Source organism: Homo sapiens, chromosome 11, assembly GCF_000001405.40.
Source record: "Homo sapiens chromosome 11, GRCh38.p14 Primary Assembly".
In the NCBI taxonomy this organism is placed as follows: Eukaryota; Metazoa; Chordata; class Mammalia; order Primates; family Hominidae; genus Homo; species Homo sapiens.
In genome coordinates this window covers 118133210-118152910 of record NC_000011.10, presented here as the reverse complement: position 1 = coordinate 118152910, position 19701 = coordinate 118133210, and the positions used below count along the sequence as shown (strand labels likewise).

General features: G+C 52.6%; 1 protein-coding gene across 4 annotated transcripts, besides 3 other annotated features; it reads left to right on the top strand.

Moving 5' to 3' along the window:
• Positions 88–19534, top strand: SCN4B (sodium voltage-gated channel beta subunit 4). 4 transcript variants are annotated; one of them, NM_174934.4, is made up of 5 exons: positions 88–298; positions 7682–7854; positions 8850–9078; positions 11575–11704; positions 15791–19534. In NM_174934.4, the coding sequence occupies exons 1-5, from the start codon at positions 238–240 to the stop codon at positions 15882–15884; spliced, it is 687 nt and encodes a 228-aa protein (NP_777594.1). In that variant the 5' UTR covers positions 88–237; the 3' UTR covers positions 15885–19534. The 4 variants fall into 4 exon arrangements, 3 of the variants coding, with proteins under 3 accessions (NP_777594.1, NP_001135820.1, NP_001135821.1); NR_024527.2 differs by lacking the exon at positions 88–298 and having other exon boundaries at positions 7478–7854; positions 8850–8924; NM_001142349.2 differs by lacking the exon at positions 88–298 and having other exon boundaries at positions 7478–7854.
• Positions 7002–7071: a silencer, noted in NCBI's record as "silent region_3943". NCBI's record gives its function as "represses an Ori minimal core promoter by ATAC-STARR-seq in GM12878 lymphoblastoid cells {active_cell/tissue: GM12878}" and the evidence as "EXISTENCE:reporter gene assay evidence [ECO:0000049][PMID:35858748]".
• Positions 7492–7691: an enhancer, noted in NCBI's record as "active region_5583". NCBI's record gives its function as "activates an Ori minimal core promoter by ATAC-STARR-seq in GM12878 lymphoblastoid cells {active_cell/tissue: GM12878}" and the evidence as "EXISTENCE:reporter gene assay evidence [ECO:0000049][PMID:35858748]".
• Positions 7908–9107: an enhancer, noted in NCBI's record as "BRD4-independent group 4 enhancer chr11:118014519-118015718 (GRCh37/hg19 assembly coordinates)". NCBI's record gives its function as "activates an origin of replication core promoter dependent on BRD2, P300/CBP, MED14 and CDK7 cofactors, and independent of BRD4, by STARR-seq in HCT116 cells {active_cell/tissue: HCT116}" and the evidence as "EXISTENCE:reporter gene assay evidence [ECO:0000049][PMID:35650434]".

Below are 19701 nucleotides of genomic sequence, written 5' to 3'. Positions count from 1 at the left end.
CCTTCCCTCCCGCCGTTGCTCCAGCAGCCGGCTCCCAGCAGCGGGCGAGCGCGCCTCCCCCTCCGCTCCCTCCCTCCCCCTCCTCTCGCTCTCTGCCCGCTAACTTTCCCGAGCCCCGACCGGCGGCGCAGAGCTCCGGGGTAGCTTTGTGGCCGAACGCCGACCTCGGGCGGAGAGCGCGGCTGTGCCCAGTATCCCATCCCCGCGACCCCCGCGCGCTCCGGAGAGAACAGGACTATGCCCGGGGCTGGGGACGGAGGCAAAGCCCCGGCGAGATGGCTGGGCACTGGGCTTTTGGGTAAGGCAGCCCCAGCTTGGTCTCTTCTCTTGCCTCCCCCCACCCCCAAAGAAGGGGACACTCGAGAAGGAAGATGCCTTGGATGGGGTGGGCTTTGGAGTGCGGCACGGAATGAGGATGGTGGCCGCCGGCTTCCTGCCTGGTTCCTGCCTGGTTCATAGGCTGTGCTCCCTGGGGACCGTGTGCGTCCCTCTCTACCCCATCAGCCCGCCAGTCTCAGGATTAGTTTTTTTGCTGTCCTTGGCACCTTCGGCTCCAGGTATTTGGAGCTGGATCTTGGGGCTGCAGCGCGGGTCTCCAGAGTTCAGAGGTTCAGGATGCTGGAGGAGGGGGGTCCGTGCCTTGAGTGCAGGGGATACCAGGTGGGTTGCACGTGTGACTGTTGGAATGGTGGTTTCCATCCCGGCCCAGAGCCGTTTGCTTGTTTCCCAGGCACCAGGCATGCACCAGTTGGGGGTGGGGGAGTCCCCTTCTTCCTGGGCCCTTTTCCTGCTTTGCTCCTCTGCCCTGTACCTCCCTCAGGAGCCACTGCCTTCCCTACAGCAGCACCTGAAAGCTGGAAGGGGCTGGAGGGGCTTGCGGGATCATTCAAGGCCCTTTAGGAACGGCCTTGTCTCTCTTCCTACAAAGAGATTCCGTAGGGAAGACCTGTTTGACCTGCTCCTGGCTCTTCATTTTTGAAGTGAATATGGAGACAGAGAAGACATGTCCAGAGGACACGGAGGAAGAAGCATTATTAATATCTATTAATATGCACATGAGAGTTTTGAGTGTCAAACTCCAAGAGATTAGGGAATGATATTTATTCATCCAGGATGTAATCTCCTCATAAATCATAGCCAGACTTTAATGTAAGCCGACTCCATCTCTGGCAACGGCATCTCTTCCTGTTTATATTGGTCAGATTTGGCTTTTGGCAGCTCCCTGCATTGGGTAAGACACACGGTGTAGGTATTTCTGCTGAAAACAGGGAGACAGAACCCTATAAGGGAAGTGGCTACTGTTTCTGCGAATGTAAACTGTGTGCAGATCTAGCAGGTTGGTGCCTGGTGGTGAAGAGGGGAGAGAGTATTTCTTGTACTTGGGATGTTTATTTACCTCTGTACCGCTAGATGGAAGACACCCTTGTTTTCTCCTGTACCTTGGCACAGATGTCATGCTGGTTTCACAGTGACCTTAATGAAGTGGGCCTTAGTGACGCCTGAGGCTCCTTTTCACAGGGTGGGCACAGCGCCATTCCATGCTACTTCCCCTCATCCCATCTCAGATCAGCCCAGGTCCCCATGGTGGCAATGGCAGGGGTAAAGGATCACTGAGGAATTCAAACTCAGCCAGTCATTAAACTACCCCACTTCACACCTCTGGCTTACCTTCCTGGGTGGTGGGATGCCAGTCCCTTGTTTGTTAGAATACTCATAGAACCAGGCCTCTGTGGGCAACCAAGAGGGCCCTGAAAATGATGTGTGTGTGTGTGTGTGTGTGTGTGTGTGCACGTGTGTAAGGGGGATTGTAGGCACAGTCTTGGTACATTGCTCCAGGTGGAAGCCCCACCTTCTCCAAGGACTGTTCAGCTGTATAGACCAGGTAGGGGCTAAGGCCTATTGATATAGGTTTAGATGAATTTCTGAGCTACCCTTTGGGAGCCCAGGAGAAAGCAGAGTGACTTGTAGGTGGGAGACCTGCAGGCCCCAGGACTGGCCTCATCTGCTCTGTCCCCTGCCCCTCTGGTCTGCAGAGGGACTCCAACCAAAGTCCCTTTGGCCCTTGACCAGGTAATACTGACTGAGCCCTCACAGGGGCATTGGTCTGAGCTTGGGACATAGATGACATCCTTGCTTCTCAGTCCAGTGGGGGAGATACAGAGACGACTGGACAGCCAACTGGAGGTGTTCCCTGGGAACATCAGAGTTGGCAGCAACTCTGGGAAGCAGAGCACAGAACTCTCCTAGGGATGAGGAAGTCATGGTCCAGAGAGGGATGGTGACTTGTCTAGGGGCTCATGGCCAATTGATGGCCAAGTGGGACAGAATCTAAGTTTCTTGGGCTCTGTCACACCACGCTGCTTCCCACTTAACTCAAGTCTGGTGAGGGGGAAGGTAAATAGTGATTGTGCTTAGGGCTGAAGAATAAGTGAGGCTCTGGGGCATGAGTGTGGAAGGATAAAGACTTGAGGGGCCTAGAGCGGCTCTTTTCACAGCTTCGGAGACTGGGTACAGAGCAGTGAACTCCCAGGAGTCCTCTTCCCCTCTCCCCGTATCAAACCCAGTCTCACAGACTGAGACCAAAGTGATTTTTGATAACCTAACAAAATACCCTTTTCTTAAACTGAGAAGCAGTTTCCAAGGCTATATTATTGCCATTGAGGTTTATGTGCTTTCCAATCTCTTCCTAAGCATGTAACTGGTAATATCTCTGTCCTGCCCACTCCTTCCTTGTTCCCCCATTTACTTAATTGCTGTGATCTGTGTTTAATTATCACTTGTGAGGGTGCTCTATTGCACAACCCTGTTTCCCCTGGTGTGTATTTATTAAGGGCTTGTTTAATGAGAATGCAATTAAGGAGAGGGTGCTCAGTCCCACTCAGAGGAAGAAAAAGGAAAGAAGAAGCAAGGAGACTGTGGAGAAGAGAGGAAAGGGGAGAAGTGGAGGGAGTTTGAATCTGGAATCCTGGGTTTGAATCTGGAAAACATGCTTAGTTCTCCTTCTGAACCTGCTGGAGGTGCAAGCCTGTGGGGGCACCTGAGAGAGAAGGCTGGAGTTCCAAAGCTCTTATGACTGGCCCCCTTCTGGTGGGATCAGCATGAGAGGGAGACTGGGCACAGCAGACCACCTTGCCCTGCTGCCAGTCCTCAAGGAGGTGTAGGGATCTCTGCATAAGCCAGGGGTGGGCCGTGCCAACACAACCTGCTCTCTGGCCTGTAAGAGGAGGGACAGGCATGCTGCTGGGACTTGTTTGCAAAGCTGGTTTCACTGAGCATCCCATGCTGTCTCAGGGGCATGCTTTCATACCAGCAAAGCTCCTGGGGATGGGCAGGAAGCAGGTAGGTTGCCTAGGGAGAGAAAGCTGAAATCTTTCCTTTGTCTCTGGGCCCAGGGGCCTTACCTGGCCCATCCCTGCCTCCCAAAGCCCCCAGGGCCTGCACCCCAGGAGGGGTCCTGTCCTGCTGGCCTCAGCCCACTTTCTGCCCCCCAGCTCTAACTTTGAGCCTTTCTAACTCTCCCTGGGCCAGAGTGTATCAGCCTCCCTATTAAAGTCAGCCGTGTGTCCACTTGCCATGCCAGCAAGCCCTCAGAGCTATATTTAGAGTGGGTACCAGCCTGCCCCTCTTTCCTCCCCGCATCCTGGGGTGGCTGTGAGTGATCCCTGGATGTGGGAAAAGGTGGTGGAAAGTTTTCTGCCTCCACATTTGCCTTGGGATATATGGTAGCTGCCATAAGATTCCTGCTGGTGTGAATATTTAATAATATGATTTGCATGTGCTGAATACTTTTCCACTTTAACAAAAGTGATCCTGAGTCAGTCCTCAGACAAAACCCCAGATGAGGATGGCAGGGGGCCAGGACTTCAGAGAAGGCAAAGAAAATGGCTGCTCTGAGAGTGGCTTTTTAGTGAGGAAAAGCAAGATTTTGGGGTTCAGGATGGAATTCCACAGGATCAGGACTGGGAAGAGTTGTTCCTCAATTCCACAATGCCGGAAAGAGGCCCCCCACTCTCACACACACACACACGTACACTTTAACATTCTAGAATTAACTTTAGAAAACAGCAAAGCAAGGCTTTCTTTACTCCGGGGAAATGGCCACATGGAAATAAGCCAAGAAGTGGTAGAGGGTGAAAATACAGATCAATGTGGGAATGGCCTGGAGACATTCTTGGCTGACACTGGTTATTCAGGGAAGCTAGGGGTGCCCTGGTTACCTGTGATGAGGGACACCCTTGTCCCCTGCTCCCCTTTCAAATACCACCCTCCTCTACCTGCAGGGTGCCCACTCACGGCGGCCCCTCTTGTGTTTTATAATCTCCTGTTCTGGCTTCACACCAAGCTTGAGAAGTAGGAAAGAGGCATCCCTGCCCTGGCTTGGGGATATGCACACCGGATGTGGCACCTCTGACTTTCTCAAGGTCAGCTGGCAGAGTGGGGCCTGCCTTGCGCATGCTCACCAGTCCTCTCTGGACTTGGTCATCCTGAAGCAGCCCTCCGGCGGCCTTTGTGGACCAACACCTGCCCCTGGTTCCCCCCTCTCCCCCAGAGCAGCCTCATAGGAGACACTGAGTTCAATGGGAGGCAGGCCCCTCGGCTTTCTTGTGCATGACCCTCCCAGACATAACTGGCAGGACTGCATGACTCCCGACTGGGAGGGCTGTGCACTGAAGAAGCCAGGCTTGCCCACCCTCTCTGATGCTTTCACTCGGGCAGGGCTCTGGACTCTGTGAAACCATTTCTGCCGGTTTTCATTTTCCCCTCCCAGCTACTGAGGAAATGGCAATGCTTCACTTGCAGAGTCCTGAGTGTATTGGACTTAAGTCATCCACATAGGTGCACACAAACCAGGCAGAAACGTGTACTGTGTCATGAGCCAGACCTTAAAGATACAGTGTTCCCCTCTCTTCTGGACCCATCTTTTGCTCGTTTTTGCTTCTATTTAAAGCAATCAATAAGATTTCCTTTTCGCACGCATCTTTTGTGCTCTTGAATATCTCTTTCTGGCTAGGGTTGAGGTGGGGAGATTTGGGCACGGATTTGAGTTCCCCCATCTCCTCCAGGACCCTGATTCCTGGACCGGTATGCTGATGAGGAGGAGCTGCCACACTCCTTGGTGCCCTGAGGGAGGCCATTAGCTATCAGGAAGCTGCCTTGTCTGACAGCTTCCCTGTCCACTGCTCTGCATTCACTTCCTGTTTGTGGGGGCTGTGGAGGGTGGGAAGCAGAGTTGGTATCTCCCACCAAAAGGTTCTAGTGCTGGCTGCAGACTGGAGAGTGGGATCTTGTGTCTGGCTTCTGTCCCTAGACCTCTGGGGGAGATGGGGCGGAGGAGGGCAGAGGTAAACAGAAAGGCAGGAGTTCTATGGAGTGCTAAGCCCTGATAGCAGTGTTTTTCTTGGAGAGTGTGGTTGGTCACAGAGTGGTGGAAAGGGGCTAATATCTGAACGCTGCTTATTCCACTCACTGGGTGTGTGGCCATGAGCAAGGTAATCTTTTTAAGCCTGTTTCCTCATTTGTTTATTGGGAATAAAAATAGTAACTTATAGGATTATGATGAGGGTTAAATGAGACAGTGTATATAAAATACCTCTCCTATCCTATAGTAACTGCTCAGTCTCAAATTCACCATTTACTCTGTGGCCCTGGGCAAGTCAACTCTCTGAGCCTCAGTTTCATCATATATAAAATGGGAACATTATACCTGCCTTTGAGCATTCTAATAAAAGTCGTAGTTAGTATGCACAAATCCTCTCGCACCGTGGTTCTCAAAGTGTGGTCCCTGCGCACAGCATTCCCTGGGAACTTTCTCGAAATGTAAAAGCTCAGGCTCCACTCCAGACCTGAATCAGAACTCCAGGGGCTGGGCGGAGCCAGCCGTAACTGTTCTCCAGGGGATTCTGATGCGCTCTCAAGTTTGAAAACCATGGCTCTAGAACAAATCCTGGTTGGCCACAAATCCTAGGAGCTGGCCAAAAATAAAGGCTAATTGAAATAACTTCCCAGCACTAATTGGAGCCCTGGTGGGTAGATCTGGGTCTCTTAGGCAAGTTACATAACCTCTCTAGGCTCAGTTGTCTCACCTACAATGTGGACCTATAATAGTACGTGACTCATAGGACAGGCCGTGAGGATGAAATGTGCCTGGCACATAGTAGATGCTCAGTTAATATCAGCTAGTACTATTGTTAGCGACAATGGCCGAATCACGATGGGGTTACTGGACCACGGGGTGTGATTTTAGGGCTGGGGGATATAAGCACTTCACTTTGTCATCAGAAGCTAAGGGCACAGGAAGAAGCTGAGCAAGCAGGGCTGCCTGCTGTCCTTGGAGATCCTTTTCTGTCATTTGAAAAGCATTGCTCAGACGCATTATCATCCGGTGGGGGCAAAACAAGAGGTTTATGATGCAGAACAGGGAATTAAGTTAGACAACAGAGGGCCTTCCTGAGAGTGGGGTTGGAAGGTGCCAGTGTCCTCTAGGGAGGAGGTGAGGCAGGCATCCACTTCCAGACACCCTCCCCGCCCCCGCCTCCACCGACCTTGAGGCGAGTGGGGTTTCCTTGGGGCATCTGCAGGACTGGGGGTGGGTGTGTGTGTGGGGCGGGGTGGCGGGGAACCAGGCCCCCTTACAAGGACTCCGGAGCGGGAGTTTGGAGGCCGTGAGTGGAGAGGCCTAGTCCCAGCGGAGGGGGCCGCATCGGAGTGCTGGGGCGGAGGTTCGAAGCGTGAGAAAGAAGCCTGGGGGCGCTCGGGGACGAGGGGGCGGAGTGTGGCGAGAAGGCCGGGCTGCAGGGCTCAGGAGGGGACCGCGGGTCCAGCGCCCTCCCCGTCCCGCCCCCGCGCGCGTGCACTCGGGCTGGCCCGGAATCCCTCCCCAGGGTGTCTTCTGCCACTGACTTTCCCACCCTGGCTGCGCCCGCGCGCCCCCGCGGCTGCCAAGCTCCAAGCCCCGCGTCGGTCCCCACCCCCGCCGTGTTCCCCCCTGCCAGGCCGTCTTCCTGCGGTTCCCAGGGTCCCGTTTGGCGGCCAGAGGGCGTCGGACTCGGCTGGCCCAGCGAGGTCCAGCCCGAACGTGTCCTTCTGCCTCTCTGCCCCTGGGGACCAGGGAGGAGCCTCCAGGGCGGGGGAACGAGAGGCTACTGGACGGCGGCCCGGGACTGCGGCGGCCGCGTTTCTCTTCTTCACCTTACGGGACCCGGCTCTTCCCCCTCCTCGACCGCCCCGCCCGTCAGTCCTGAAAACCTGGCGAGAGGCGCGTACTGTCCTAGGGGAATTCCCCTGCAAACAGAAGGGAGCCCGCCCTGCGCGTCCTGGAGTGGGTGCGGCAGGAGCGCTTCCAGGCACTGCGTCCCCAGGTGAGGGGCGGAGCCGGGGCGCGGTTCGCGGCAGTGGCCAGGCCTTTGTTTCCTTGGGTTGGGGTGACCCCTGGTGGTCATCCAGAGCGCAACAAGGGCTACTCCCTGGTCCAGAATTCAGTCCTTTCCAGGGGAGAAATGGAGAATGATGGAGGGTGGCCCAGGCGGTGCTGATTGGAGTAGACAGCCATCCTCCCGAGGTTGGCACTGAGGGTGATAGAGACCTACCTGCCTGGCCAAGCTACTCCGCCCTGCCTAAGCATCCCCTTCCAGAGCTCCAGGCTGGTGGGGTTTTATTAAGGGAGGCGGTGCTCCTTACACAGGCCTCTTCCTGCTCCCCGTAACCCTGTCGCTGGAGGTGTCTGTGGGAAAGGCCACCGACATCTACGCTGTCAATGGCACGGAGATCCTGCTGCCCTGCACCTTCTCCAGCTGCTTTGGCTTCGAGGACCTCCACTTCCGGTGGACCTACAACAGCAGTGACGCATTCAAGATTGTAAGTATTTGGAGGAAGAACAGTACAGCCCAGCCTCCCTCACCCATGCCTCGCCTCCTACGCTCTGGTCCCTTCTGGACTGAGACCCACTGCGATGGTCCCCAGAACCCACCTTTTGCCACCCTTTCTCCCAGTATTCTTTTCAGAGCCTGCCAGGAAGGATGTAACTGGGAGAGATGCTTAGATCGTGTTGCCAGAATTCGGGGACTGTTGGAATTCTTGGCTAGAGTCCTCTGTCTGGTCTTAAGAAACACCCGGAGCTTGGATTGCTTGTCTAAAAATCAATAGTTTAGTCTAAGAAACAGGAGAGAGAAAGGCCTTGGAAAGCTTGGAGAGAAGGAATGAGAAGAGTCTGAATGAGGGAAGGGCTGAGAAGCTGGACTGGCAGGGAAAAGAGAGAGGAAGAGAGGGAGAGCTGCAGGAGCATTGGCGCGGCTGCGGTGGGGGTGGGAGTGAACTCACTAGATTGTACTCACTCTACAATCTAGTGGGGGATCCAACCTGAGACTTTCACAGGGAAGCCACAAGAGACCAACTCTGGTTATAATTAAATGCTGACCTCAGAGGGTGCTGACGGGCAGAGCTGTGGGATTGATCCAGGTCTTGACAGGGGGCCAAAATTCAGTTGGGCAGGTGACATGGTGTCAGCAAAGGCTGGGTGGGAGGTGACAGAGGGAGATGAGTGCGGTGCTTGCAGGAGTCATTAGGTAAAAGGCTTTTATGAAGAGAGCAGTAAGAGCTGTGCTGCATTCCAGGGAGACCTTAATAAAAGGAAATGGGTTTAGCCTGAAACAAGTAAAATTCAGGTTAGACAGGCAGAGCTATTGACGCTGGAAGAGGAAACCATGGGGGGAAGGAGCAGGGCGTGACTACAGGCTCTTCCTGGTCCTGGACAGGGGAGGCATCCAAGGAGTGGGCTGGTGTGATGTCATGACCCTTGAGGACCCCGATTCTTTCTCGGCTACTTTCTCACCCCAACTCCCTTCCTCCACCAGCTCATAGAGGGGACTGTGAAGAATGAGAAGTCTGACCCCAAGGTGACGTTGAAAGACGATGACCGCATCACTCTGGTAGGCTCTACTAAGGAGAAGATGAACAACATTTCCATTGTGCTGAGGGACCTGGAGTTCAGCGACACGGGCAAATACACCTGCCATGTGAAGAACCCCAAGGAGAATAATCTCCAGCACCACGCCACCATCTTCCTCCAAGTCGTTGATAGACGTATGCAGTAGGGGCTGGCACAGGGCAGTGGCGTGGGAAGGACTTGGGAGGCACCCAACTCAGCATCACAGTGAAATGGCAAAATGGACCGTGTTGGTGTTTTCTTTTGCTTTACACTTTCCAGAGCTGCTGGAGTTACATCTAAAAGCTAGAAGAGCTCAGCTTGAACACTTATTCTGCTACCAAATAGCTTATGAAATACTCTCTAAGCCTCGTTTTCCTCATCTGTAAAATGGGAATATGGCTTCATTTTCCTAGAGTTGTGGTTAGAGAAGCTACCTGGTAGTGTTTTGTGGCTAGTAGGGTTTTCTCCGTATATACTGATTATTAATACCATTGGGTATTCCATTAGCAAAAATTGATTGAATGTCAGGCATTGGACTAAAAAGTGCTATGAGTGATACATTACATTCTTCCTTGAGGAATTCACAGTACAAGGTAGGACAGAAGATAAATAAATAGCTAGAATGGGCAGAACATGATGCATACATCTGTCAGTAGAGGTGAAAACAACAGAGATGGAGTAAGACATGGCCCTTGTCCTCTGGGGGCTTACATCCTACCTAGGATTCCAGTCTGACACAGGAGGACCAATCATACAAGGAGGGTGCATATGAAAAGGAGCCAGGTGGTCCCTGACCAGACCTGGTGTGGTTAGAGAAGGAGGATATGATAACCAGGGCTGGAGAAGTGAGGCATGGCCCCACTGAGGGGAGGGGCCTGGAAGACTAGGGAAGTGCAGAAGCAGAGAGAAAAAGGGAAGGGGACTTGCGCAAGGATCCTGACTCTGCTGCATTTTGTGTGTACCGGGAGTTTGCTGCTCTCCTGGATGACACTGAGTCCCTGGAGAGGGAGACACCCGTGAGTTCAATCTCGAGTATGCAAGGGCGGAGCCAGAGGTTATCCAATCAGCTTTTCTGAGCCTGGAGTCATAGGTCTGCCTATGGTGTCACCTCTTCCTTTCTGTCTGGGCTTCTGTCACCCAGCTTGTACTCAGCCTTTTCAGAAGGAAGAGAACGGGCATTTGTGGAGCGTTTTCTGGGTGCCAGATCCCGAGTTAGTTGCTGTCATTGATTTTAGCTCCTTTGCTCCTCACCAGCTCCCTTGAGGTGGATCGTCTCTCCATCTGTATGGATTCATTCATCCATCTGTTCAACAAATATTTACTGAGCACCTTGTATGGGGCAGACGTTATTCTAGATTCCGAGGATGTGATATGAACAAGATAGACAAATTCCTGCCTTTATGGAGATTACCTTCCTCCTCTTCTGTGTATGGAGATACCAATAGAAAATAAAGAAGAAAAATGATATTGTAAAAGAGAACATGGCTAGTGTTAAGAAGAAAAAATAAAGCAGGAAAGAAAGATGGGGTGCCAGCAGGGTGAATAGGGAAGGGCTCTCTGGAAAAGGCGATAGAGTGGGGATATTTGAAGGAGGTGAGAGAGGAGCCATGAGGGCATCTTTGGGAAGATAGGGAGGGAACAGTGAGTGCAAAGGCCTTGAGGCAGATGCGTGAAGAATCACAGCAGGCTAGTGCTGGAGCAGGGCAAGGAGTGAGAGATGAGTCAGGTCAAGCCAGATTGTGTAATCACCCTGCTGGAAGGGTGAGTGAGGTGGGAGCCACTGGGAGCAGAGGAGTTAGGGCCTGAACAGGTTCACTCAGGCCCCTATGCCAAGAATAGATGATAGAGGGAGGAGATCAGTTAGGAAGCTATTGCAGACATCCATGCAAGAGGTGGCTTGGGCCAGGGCCAGGGAGATTGTGAGCCATCAGATTCTGGAATATTTTAAAGTTAGAGCTGTCAGGATTCTCAGGTAGCTTGGATAAAGCGTTTGAATAAAAGGCATCAAAGAAGACTCCAAGGATTGTGGTTATAGCAATTGGGAGGATAAAGTTGTTCTCAGTGGAGAGGAGGAAGACTGTGGGTGGAGCAGGTTCCGGAAGCAGTCAGGAGTTCAGTTTTCAGATGAAGAAACTGAGGCTAGGAGGGTTCAATGACCTGCCCAACATTGCCAGCTAGTTAGTGACAGTTAAATCCCATGCTTAAAATTCAGACTATCTGACTCCAAAATCTTCTCACCATCTAAGAGGTATCATAGGGAGGTTCTTAATTTTTTCTGTGTGAGCAAAGGGGTCTAGAAAGAGGCAATGAAATTTTCGCCTGGCAATTTGGGGATCAAGTCACCACTCAAACTTGAGTGTTATAGGCTCCAATTCTGATTTATTCCAGAACTCGTGTGAGTGCATCTGTGGGAGGGCATGTGCAGGGTGGGGGAGAGGGCCCCTTATGTGTGCCCTAGCCTGATAGATGCCATGCTCTGCCTCTCCAGCTTCCTGCTGCAGGCCTGGGGAGGGCTGGGGGTCTGGGAGTGGATGTGCCCCGGATGCCAGGGGGTGGAGGCTACATGGCCCTTGCACTGCCACAGTTCTCGGCTCCAGGTTGACTCTTGCTCCCTTTGTGCCTTCCCTTTCCTCCCTACTCGGGCCACACAGTGGAAGAAGTGGACAACACAGTGACACTCATCATCCTGGCTGTCGTGGGCGGGGTCATCGGGCTCCTCATCCTCATCCTGCTGATCAAGAAACTCATCATCTTCATCCTGAAGAAGACTCGGGAGAAGAAGTGAGTTGATCTGGAGCACACTCCTGTCCTCCCAGCAGCCCACCACCCTCTCATCTACCCCCACCAGCTTTCAGCCTTCCACCTGCCTCCTCCTTCCCCCCATTCCCATTCCTACCGCTCTCTGTTCTATCCCTGCCACCCCCTCCCCATCTCTCAGCCCCTTCCTCATCGCTTTCCCTCTTCCTCATCCTCCCAATATGTATTTATTGAATACGTTCATTGAATACACAAACGCCAGCCACTTGCTCTTCCTCAGCCCACTGTCTTCCTTCCCGTCCCATTAGCCTCTCTTTCCATTTGTACCACCCAACCGAGAGCCTTACCAAAGGACTTAAGGAGCCTTTGAAAAAATCAGTGAAAATGTAAGATTCCATGTACAGAGACTCTAAAATGAGAAAACTCTTCTAGGGAGATGGGAACAAAATTCTTCTGTTAGGAATTTCTGAAAATTCAGATGGAGGTGATGTTTTAAAAGTTTGAAAAGGCAGATATGGCCTCCCAGGGAGCCCTAGGATAAGTTCAGGTATAAAAATAGACATCTATAAGGGGAAGGGGAGGGAAGATGGGGGAGGTACGGAGGGTGCAACCCTCAGGCCCCAAATTTTTGGAACAGTATCAGACAGGCTCCAGAGCAGCATGTGGTGAATCTTGCAAAACTAGAGCAGGGAAAAGGCATTTGAAAGTTGTGTTCTGAGCAAGACAGATGCGACGAGATGGCTTCCCATTGGAACAGAGAGGGTGATGGTAACCACGAGATGCAGAGAATGGAGAACTCCTCTGCCCCTATTTGCTGAAACATTCTGCTCTGCTGAGAAGAGGGAATTCTGCTGTAAAGGGCAGAACTTACTCTAGAAAGAGGGGATGGAAGTTGGAGGTAGGGAGGGGCCATACAGGTAGCAGCGCTGGGGCTGGGGAGCAGGGGAGGACCCCAGAACTGGGTTGTCGATGAAGAGCTCAAGGGTTGTCTGCCTGCCTTGTGGCCAGAGGCTGTGAGGGTTTTGGTGATCGTGAGAGGGGCTAAAAGCGTGGAGCTTAATTAGGTTCTGTTTTTCATAACCAGTCTTACTATCAATGGATGGAGAACAAATTTGTCAATATATGGTTTAAAAGCACTTAGAAAAGACAACGGTGGTCCTTCAGAGCCACAGTGGGTTCATCAAAAACAAGACATGCTAAGCTGGATGTGTGTGCCTGAAGTCCCAGCTCCCTGGGGGGCTGAGGCAGGAGGATGCTTTGAGCCCAGGAGTTTGAGTCCAGCCTGGGCAACTTAGCAAGAGCTCGTCTCTTAAAAAAAAAAAGAAAAAAGAAAAAAAAAAAAGGAATGCTAGATGTCTCCTGATAAGGCACTGGCAGAACAGGAGATTGCTCTGGAAAATACCACTTCCTGTCATTCATCAAATGCCTACCATATGTTAGGAATTCCACCAGGCAATTTTATACACTACCCATAATTATTATTTTACAATTGAGCAAAGTGAGGCTCAGAGTAGTGAAGTGACTTGCCCAAGGCCACACAGCTAGTAAGTGATAGAGCTGGGATTTGAACTGTGACTAATTTGGCTTCAAAGCTTAAACCATTGCCAGGATGTTCTACTGACTCACTGGGCATATCTAGAGTTCATTCATTTATCTGTTCATTTTGTGGCTGTTTTTGAGGCACTGTGCCAGATGCTATAGGAAATTATGGAAGGAATGAGATTCTGCCTTTAACTAAAGAAGACAAGATACAAATAAATGTGTATACAAATAAATGTAATACAAGGTAGAGGGGATCAGTGCCAGCAAAGAGGTTTGATACGATGCTGCTGTGGGGGTTCAGGGCAGGGTGAAATTCTGGGAAGGATTTCTGGCTGAATGGGTGTTTGTGGCAGGCCTTGCAAGATTAATATAACTTAAGCCCTGGGGAGAGTAAAGGGAAGATTCTTCCAGATGGAGGCACCACTGAGAGCCAAGGCAGAGAGTCTGGGAAGTGGGCTTGTCTGGAGAACAAGCCTTTTGTTTGTTGAGAGAGCTGTATGGTGAGGTGGTGGGGAGGAGAATAAAAGCCTGCAGAAGGGGTTGGGGACAGACACTTGGGGACCTGGGAGTCGAGGCTGTGATTGACTTCCGACGGCAGGGGAGCTGGCGAGGGCTTGCAGGGCCCTGGCACGATCAGAGAGCACAGAAGAAAGGATCTGGCCATGGTGGGCGGAGGGATTGGGTGGAAGAGCCTGGGGGCAGGGGACAGACCGTAGGGAAGCCTGAGGGAGGTCCTTGGAGTGGCGGGGAATGCCTGCATTACAGCAGAGACAGTGGCTTCTCAAGAACAGGGAGGTACTGGACAACATCTCACCATTGATTCTGAAACGTGGGTGCTGTTTCCTCTGTCTGGAATTTACCCTCTCTCTTTTCCTGCTCATCTTTCTTGGTTTCAAAGAAGCTTGGAAGTTTAAGGTATACTTCCAAAAAGCTTCCCTGACTCCTATGAGGAGGCTTCCTAGGTTGGGTCCCTCCTTCCTACATCCCCCATCCTGTTATTTACCACAGTGTGTCACAATCACTTGTTTAATGTCACATGCCCTAGGAGAGTGCACGTTTCCGACACAGTGCCTGGTACCCAGTAGGTTCTCAGTAGAGAATTATGGACTGCGTGGAATACAGTTCGGTGGGTCGTAATTGGCTGGGTTAACTATGCCTTAGGTACAGAGACAGAAAGAAAGAAAGAGAGAGAGACAGAGAGAGAGAGATGGATCCATCCGAATAGAGGTCTTTAGTGTATTCCACAGGGCTCCACCTGTTCATTGTTATTACTAACATTTGAAGTACACTAGGGATGTCACATTTATCAACTTCCAGAAGCCTAGTAACTATGTTGGAAGAAAAAGGGATCTAGGAAGATCTTGATAGGCTGGAGCTAGGAACTAGGTATTGCAAGATGAAATTAATGAGGACAAAATATTCAGTCCTTCCCAAAGGCCTCAAACCCAGCTGCCCAAGCCCAGGGTGAGGGTAGGATGTAGTTTGGCTGTAGCAGCTGTGAAAAACTTGGCCATTTTCATGAGCAGAAAGCTCAGAGGGATGCAGGTGCTCCCTGGGGAGTTCTGTGTGCCCAGCCTGGGCGCTGCTGTGGAGGAGGGACACACTGAAGTTGGAGCATGTCCAGCTCAGAGCGGTCAGGGTGGAACGCCTCCCGGGAGGTGTCTTCCCATCTCACCATCTCTCCTTCCTCCTGTCTTCTGCTCCGTCCCACCAAACTCTGCCTAGACCTGTCACCCTTGAAGCCAAACCCACTGCCTGCTCTGCCCCTTCCATGGACTCTGTTCTTCCCTTAATACCTCTAGTCACGGAGAGCTCAGGGAGGAAGGCCTGGGGGGCCCTGGGGAGAGGGACTCTGTGTCCTCAGCATACTCCTTGCTGGCCTGGACCCCTCCCCCTGGCGTGGCACAGCCTGGGAACTGACCCCTGAGAACAGCACCTGGTGCCCTTTGCTTCCTGCCATGTTGAGACAACTAGGTGACAGCTAAGCTTTATTGAGAACTTTCTTTTTTTCTTTGTTTGAGACAGAGTCTCGCTCTGTTGCCCAGGCTGGAGTGCAGTGGCACGATCTCAGCTCACTGCAACCTCCGCCTCCCAGGTTCAAGCGATTCTCCTGCCTCAGCCTCCCTAGTAGCTGGGACTATAGGCGCCTGCCACCACGCCTGGCTAATTTTTGTATTTTTAGTAGAGATGGGGTTTTGCCATGTTGGCCAGGCTGGTCTCGAACTCCTGACCTCAAGTGATCTGCCTGCCTCGGCCTCCCAAAGTGCTGGGATTACAGGTGTGAGCCACCGCACCTGGCCAGTTGAGAACTTTCTACATGGCAGGCACTGTTCTAAGTGCTCATTTCTCCTTCCAGCAACCCCACGCAGAAGGTCATCCCTACCTCTATTTCACAAATGAGGGGACTGAGGTACAGAGAGGTTAGGTGACATGGCCTCTGGCTACCTTAGCTCTGTAGAAGGCCAGGGAGAGGCACAGGGCTGGGTGCAGGGCCCACGGCTCCTGCCACAATTCTCCCCCTACTCTTGCTCCTCTCCTCACCACTGTCCCTTCTCTCTCCCTCTCCAGGAAGGAGTGTCTCGTGAGCTCCTCGGGGAATGACAACACGGAGAACGGCTTGCCTGGCTCCAAGGCAGAGGAGAAACCACCTTCAAAAGTGTGAGCCCTGCTTCGGGCTGAGCAGCTGCAGGGAGCCCCCTTTCTGATGATGAAACTGATGCTTGAGCCCCGACCGTAGAACCCACGTGCCTGAGACATCTGCTGCTTGGCTCAAACTGTAGTCTTTCCGGGCACAAGAAACCAGAGTCCTGCCCAGCCTGCCCATCCCCTTCCCAGTCAGGGCTCCCCAGGGACAAGGGATGGCCAGGGGAGGGGGTCTGTGGAAGATTCAGGAGAAAGAAAGGAGAGGCTAGGGTGGTGTGGAGGGGCTGGTCCCCTGACACCTGGGCAGATGGGGTCTCCTTCAGTCTCCCTACCCTGCACAAGCAGGGCCTTGATTTTCCTCCAGGCTTCTCTTCACAAGAGACTGGGAGGATCCGTAAGGGATGTCCTAAGAGCTGCACCCTGGAGATGGGGTGTAGGAAGAAGTGGCTTCCTTTGGAGGTGGGAGTGGGCTGGAGGCCTCTGGAGAAGACCTGGGGTGGGGGCTGATGGGGGCAGGCCCACAGTGAGAGACTGCCTCTGCTTCATAGGATACCAGATCCCCCACAGTCTTCCAAGTAGGAAACTTCCTTTCCCCTGCCCCGGGACCCTATCTGCCTATCCCCTCCCCTGCTCAGAGTTTTTAAGCCCTCTCAACCAGGGCTGGCCACCCTGGTCTTGAGGGTTCCTGGCCACCTAGCCTGCTCCTCTGCTCTCTGGGTTACTGAGGGGCTCAGGAAGGGGCCCCTCGAGCCTTCCTGGAGTACCCGAGTGCTCCCTATGCCTTTCCAAGCATTTCTACTTGGGGAATTGGGCCACAGAGGTAGTGAGCCAGTGTCCTGGGCCTCTGGGATGCCCGCCCCATTGCTGCCAATGCTGGCAGCCCCTCCCCTGGCATGGCAGGACCATCGCCACTCTGGGCACTCCTGAGCCCAGCTCTCCCCTGCTTCTCCCCCTCCTACCTGAGAGGCTGCACCCTCCAACCTCCCATTGGCTCGCTCCCCCCCCCCCACCGTGCCCTCCATCACGCCCTGCCCCCAGGGTGGTTCATTTCCCAGCCCTGGGTCAAGGGCCTGCCTTCGCCTCAGGGACTCTCTTCCTTTGGATGAGGGGGTCCTTGGGTTTCCCAGCTGCTTCCTGCTCAGCTGGGCCACCCCCTCCCACCCTGGGGTTGGGGAGGAGCAGGGAGTGGGTGCCCACAGTTTTCCTTTGCTTCTCCCAGAGCTGGTTTGCACAGCCCTTGTGTGTGGGGCTAGAATGTGCCTTAGTCCTGAATCCTAGCCCTTACCCCCATCCTCTCTAGACGGTATGTCCTGACATAACAGCAGAGTCTGGTGTGGTGCTGGTGAGGGTTCGCCAGCCCTCCCCTCCCCAGGGTCATAGAGGGGGCCATGAGGCTGGAATTGGCCAGTGACTGAATCTTGGAGATGTCGGCCAGGTGCTCCCATTGGGGTTTCTAGCCTGCCCTAGGGGGAGGTGGTGATGTTGGGAGTGGGATCTCCTGAGTCCTTGTTGGGCAGAATTGGTGAGGCCAGGGATGGCAGGGAAAAGTGGTAACAAGCCTCTCTGCCCATCTACTTCCAATCCCTCTCTCCCTTACTGATTTTTTGATGCCCTGTCTTCTGGGCCCCTAGGAGGGATGAGAGAGGAGTAGCCCCCTTTTTCAGAGAGTTTGGGGTCTACCTCAGAGCTCTCCCTGTCAAAAAGCAGCTGCAAGCCTCGCAAGGGTGGAGTGGGGGGAGACTGAGGACCAGTAGTACCTGCAGGGTGCCCGTGGCTGTGGCCAGTGTCCCTTAGCCAACCTGCTGGGCTCACCAGTTCCCCGTCTGATCTGCCTGTGCGCCTCCCATTCTTCTCTACCCAGAACCTGTCATGGGCTGGGGCTCAGATTTTCCTGGCTTTGGGAGCAGACAGACCAGAGCCACCAGCCATTCAGAAAACTTCTTATAGCTACCTTCATGCAAAACTGTTTTCTTCTTCCTTCTCAATGGTGACATTTGAAGAGGCAGAGCACCTTGGGGCTCCTCCTTCTGTCTTAAGAGAAAGCCAAGGCACGTAGAGTAGGGAGAAGAAGGGCACCATCCTCTCTTTCCTCCCCAGGGTCTACTGCTGATTTCTAGATGGATCATGCAGCTTCTCTCAGCTCAGCTCTTTCCATCTACCAAATGGGTGTAATAATACTTACCTACCTCACAGGACTGTTGTGAGGCTTGGCAAGTTTTGTCTAAAAACATCTTTTTGGCTTGGAAAGGGATCTGGGAAGCCAGGTATTAATTGCAGGGATAGTTCCAAGTCTGTCCTGTCTTCATCTCTGTGTCCCATCTCTACAACCCACATACAGACACACACACTCTCTCTCTCTTTCTTTCCATCCCACCCCCCTTGGAATTATTTAGTCTTTGCAATATTAGAAACCTTGACTCTGATGCTTAAAGCTTCTTGTCCATGGCTTTTGTTTGATGGTTTTCAATAGAGGTGACTGAGATTGTAGGGGGGGCATTTTTGGTTGCCCCCATGCGTGGGGGCACTACTAAGAATGCTAAACTTAGTCCCCACAACAAAGAATCATCCTGTCCCATGTCAACATTATACCCATGGAGAAACACTGGCATGGATTTGCACTAGGATGTATATGGGCAAAGCTATCTTCCCCAAGTGGAACCTCAGTGCATGCAAATCTCTGATGGTGGCTTCCAGGGCTTGTGGGCTAGAGAGAGCCACTTACAAAGTCGATCTTGAGAGACCTGGCCACATGCAGCTGGGCTGAGTGATGTCAGCGAGACTAAAGACAAAGTTCTGAGCTCCTCATCAACTACAAAATATGAAATCAGCATTCCAGGTTCTGGGCTTCTCCCCATGTCGTAATTGAACAGAAGGCAGCCCGAATAAACCCCTGATGTTAGAGAGGCCTGGGGAGAGCAGCCGATGGGGCTCAGACTACATATGGCAGGCCGATCAGAGCTCTTGTGGAGCGAGGGCTTGAGAGCATGCTTGTGAGATGGCAGGAGGTGGGGTGTGCTTGTGTGGAGTGTGCGTGTGCAGGCAGTGTGGGTGCATGGCAGCGTAACTGTGGAGTGGATGGGCTCTGCATGTAAGGGGTGATGCATGATGGGCAGATGCTGGACATTTGAGGAGCCGTCTTTCTTGGCCTGAGCTATGCCTGTTGAGGCATCTGGAGACTGAGAAAGAATCAAAGGCAGAGAAGACCAGCCGTGCTCCTGCATTCCGTCACTCCATGACTTCATCTCAGTGTCACAGACAGCTGCCATCAGAGGGCTGGCAGTAGGGAGTTCCAGGAGCGGGGACTTCTCGGGAAAATCCTATAACTTGCTTTACTTTACTTTGTCCCAGGTTGGAGTCCCTACCCTCCCACCTCCCACCTGATATGCAGTGCTTTTGACTATCTTATGCATGGTTTATTCCTCTGGCTTGGATGACAACAATACCCATAGTCAATTTTCCTATGTAACTATAGATCAAATGATGCAACAACAGGCCTTGGGAGGCCTCAGGTGTGCGAGTGCCTCTGGGAGGCGCAGATGCCCACACAGCCAGCACTGACTTGTGTTCGAGCACAGAACGGATATAATCAGTCTGGCCTCTACAACAAGTTTTGCATTGTAGAATTGTATTTAGCTTTGCCTTGGATGAAATAAAAATTATGTTTAATAATTTGGGATTTGGGGGCTTCCATTTTTGACTGGTTGGGAGTTGGGTTCCAGTTTTATTTCTTGCCAGCTGTGCTTAGGACAAGTTTCTTTACCTTCTCTGAGCCTCAATCTGTTTGTGTCTAAAATGTTACCTGCCTAGGTGAAATAACACAGGCAAACTGCCTAAGA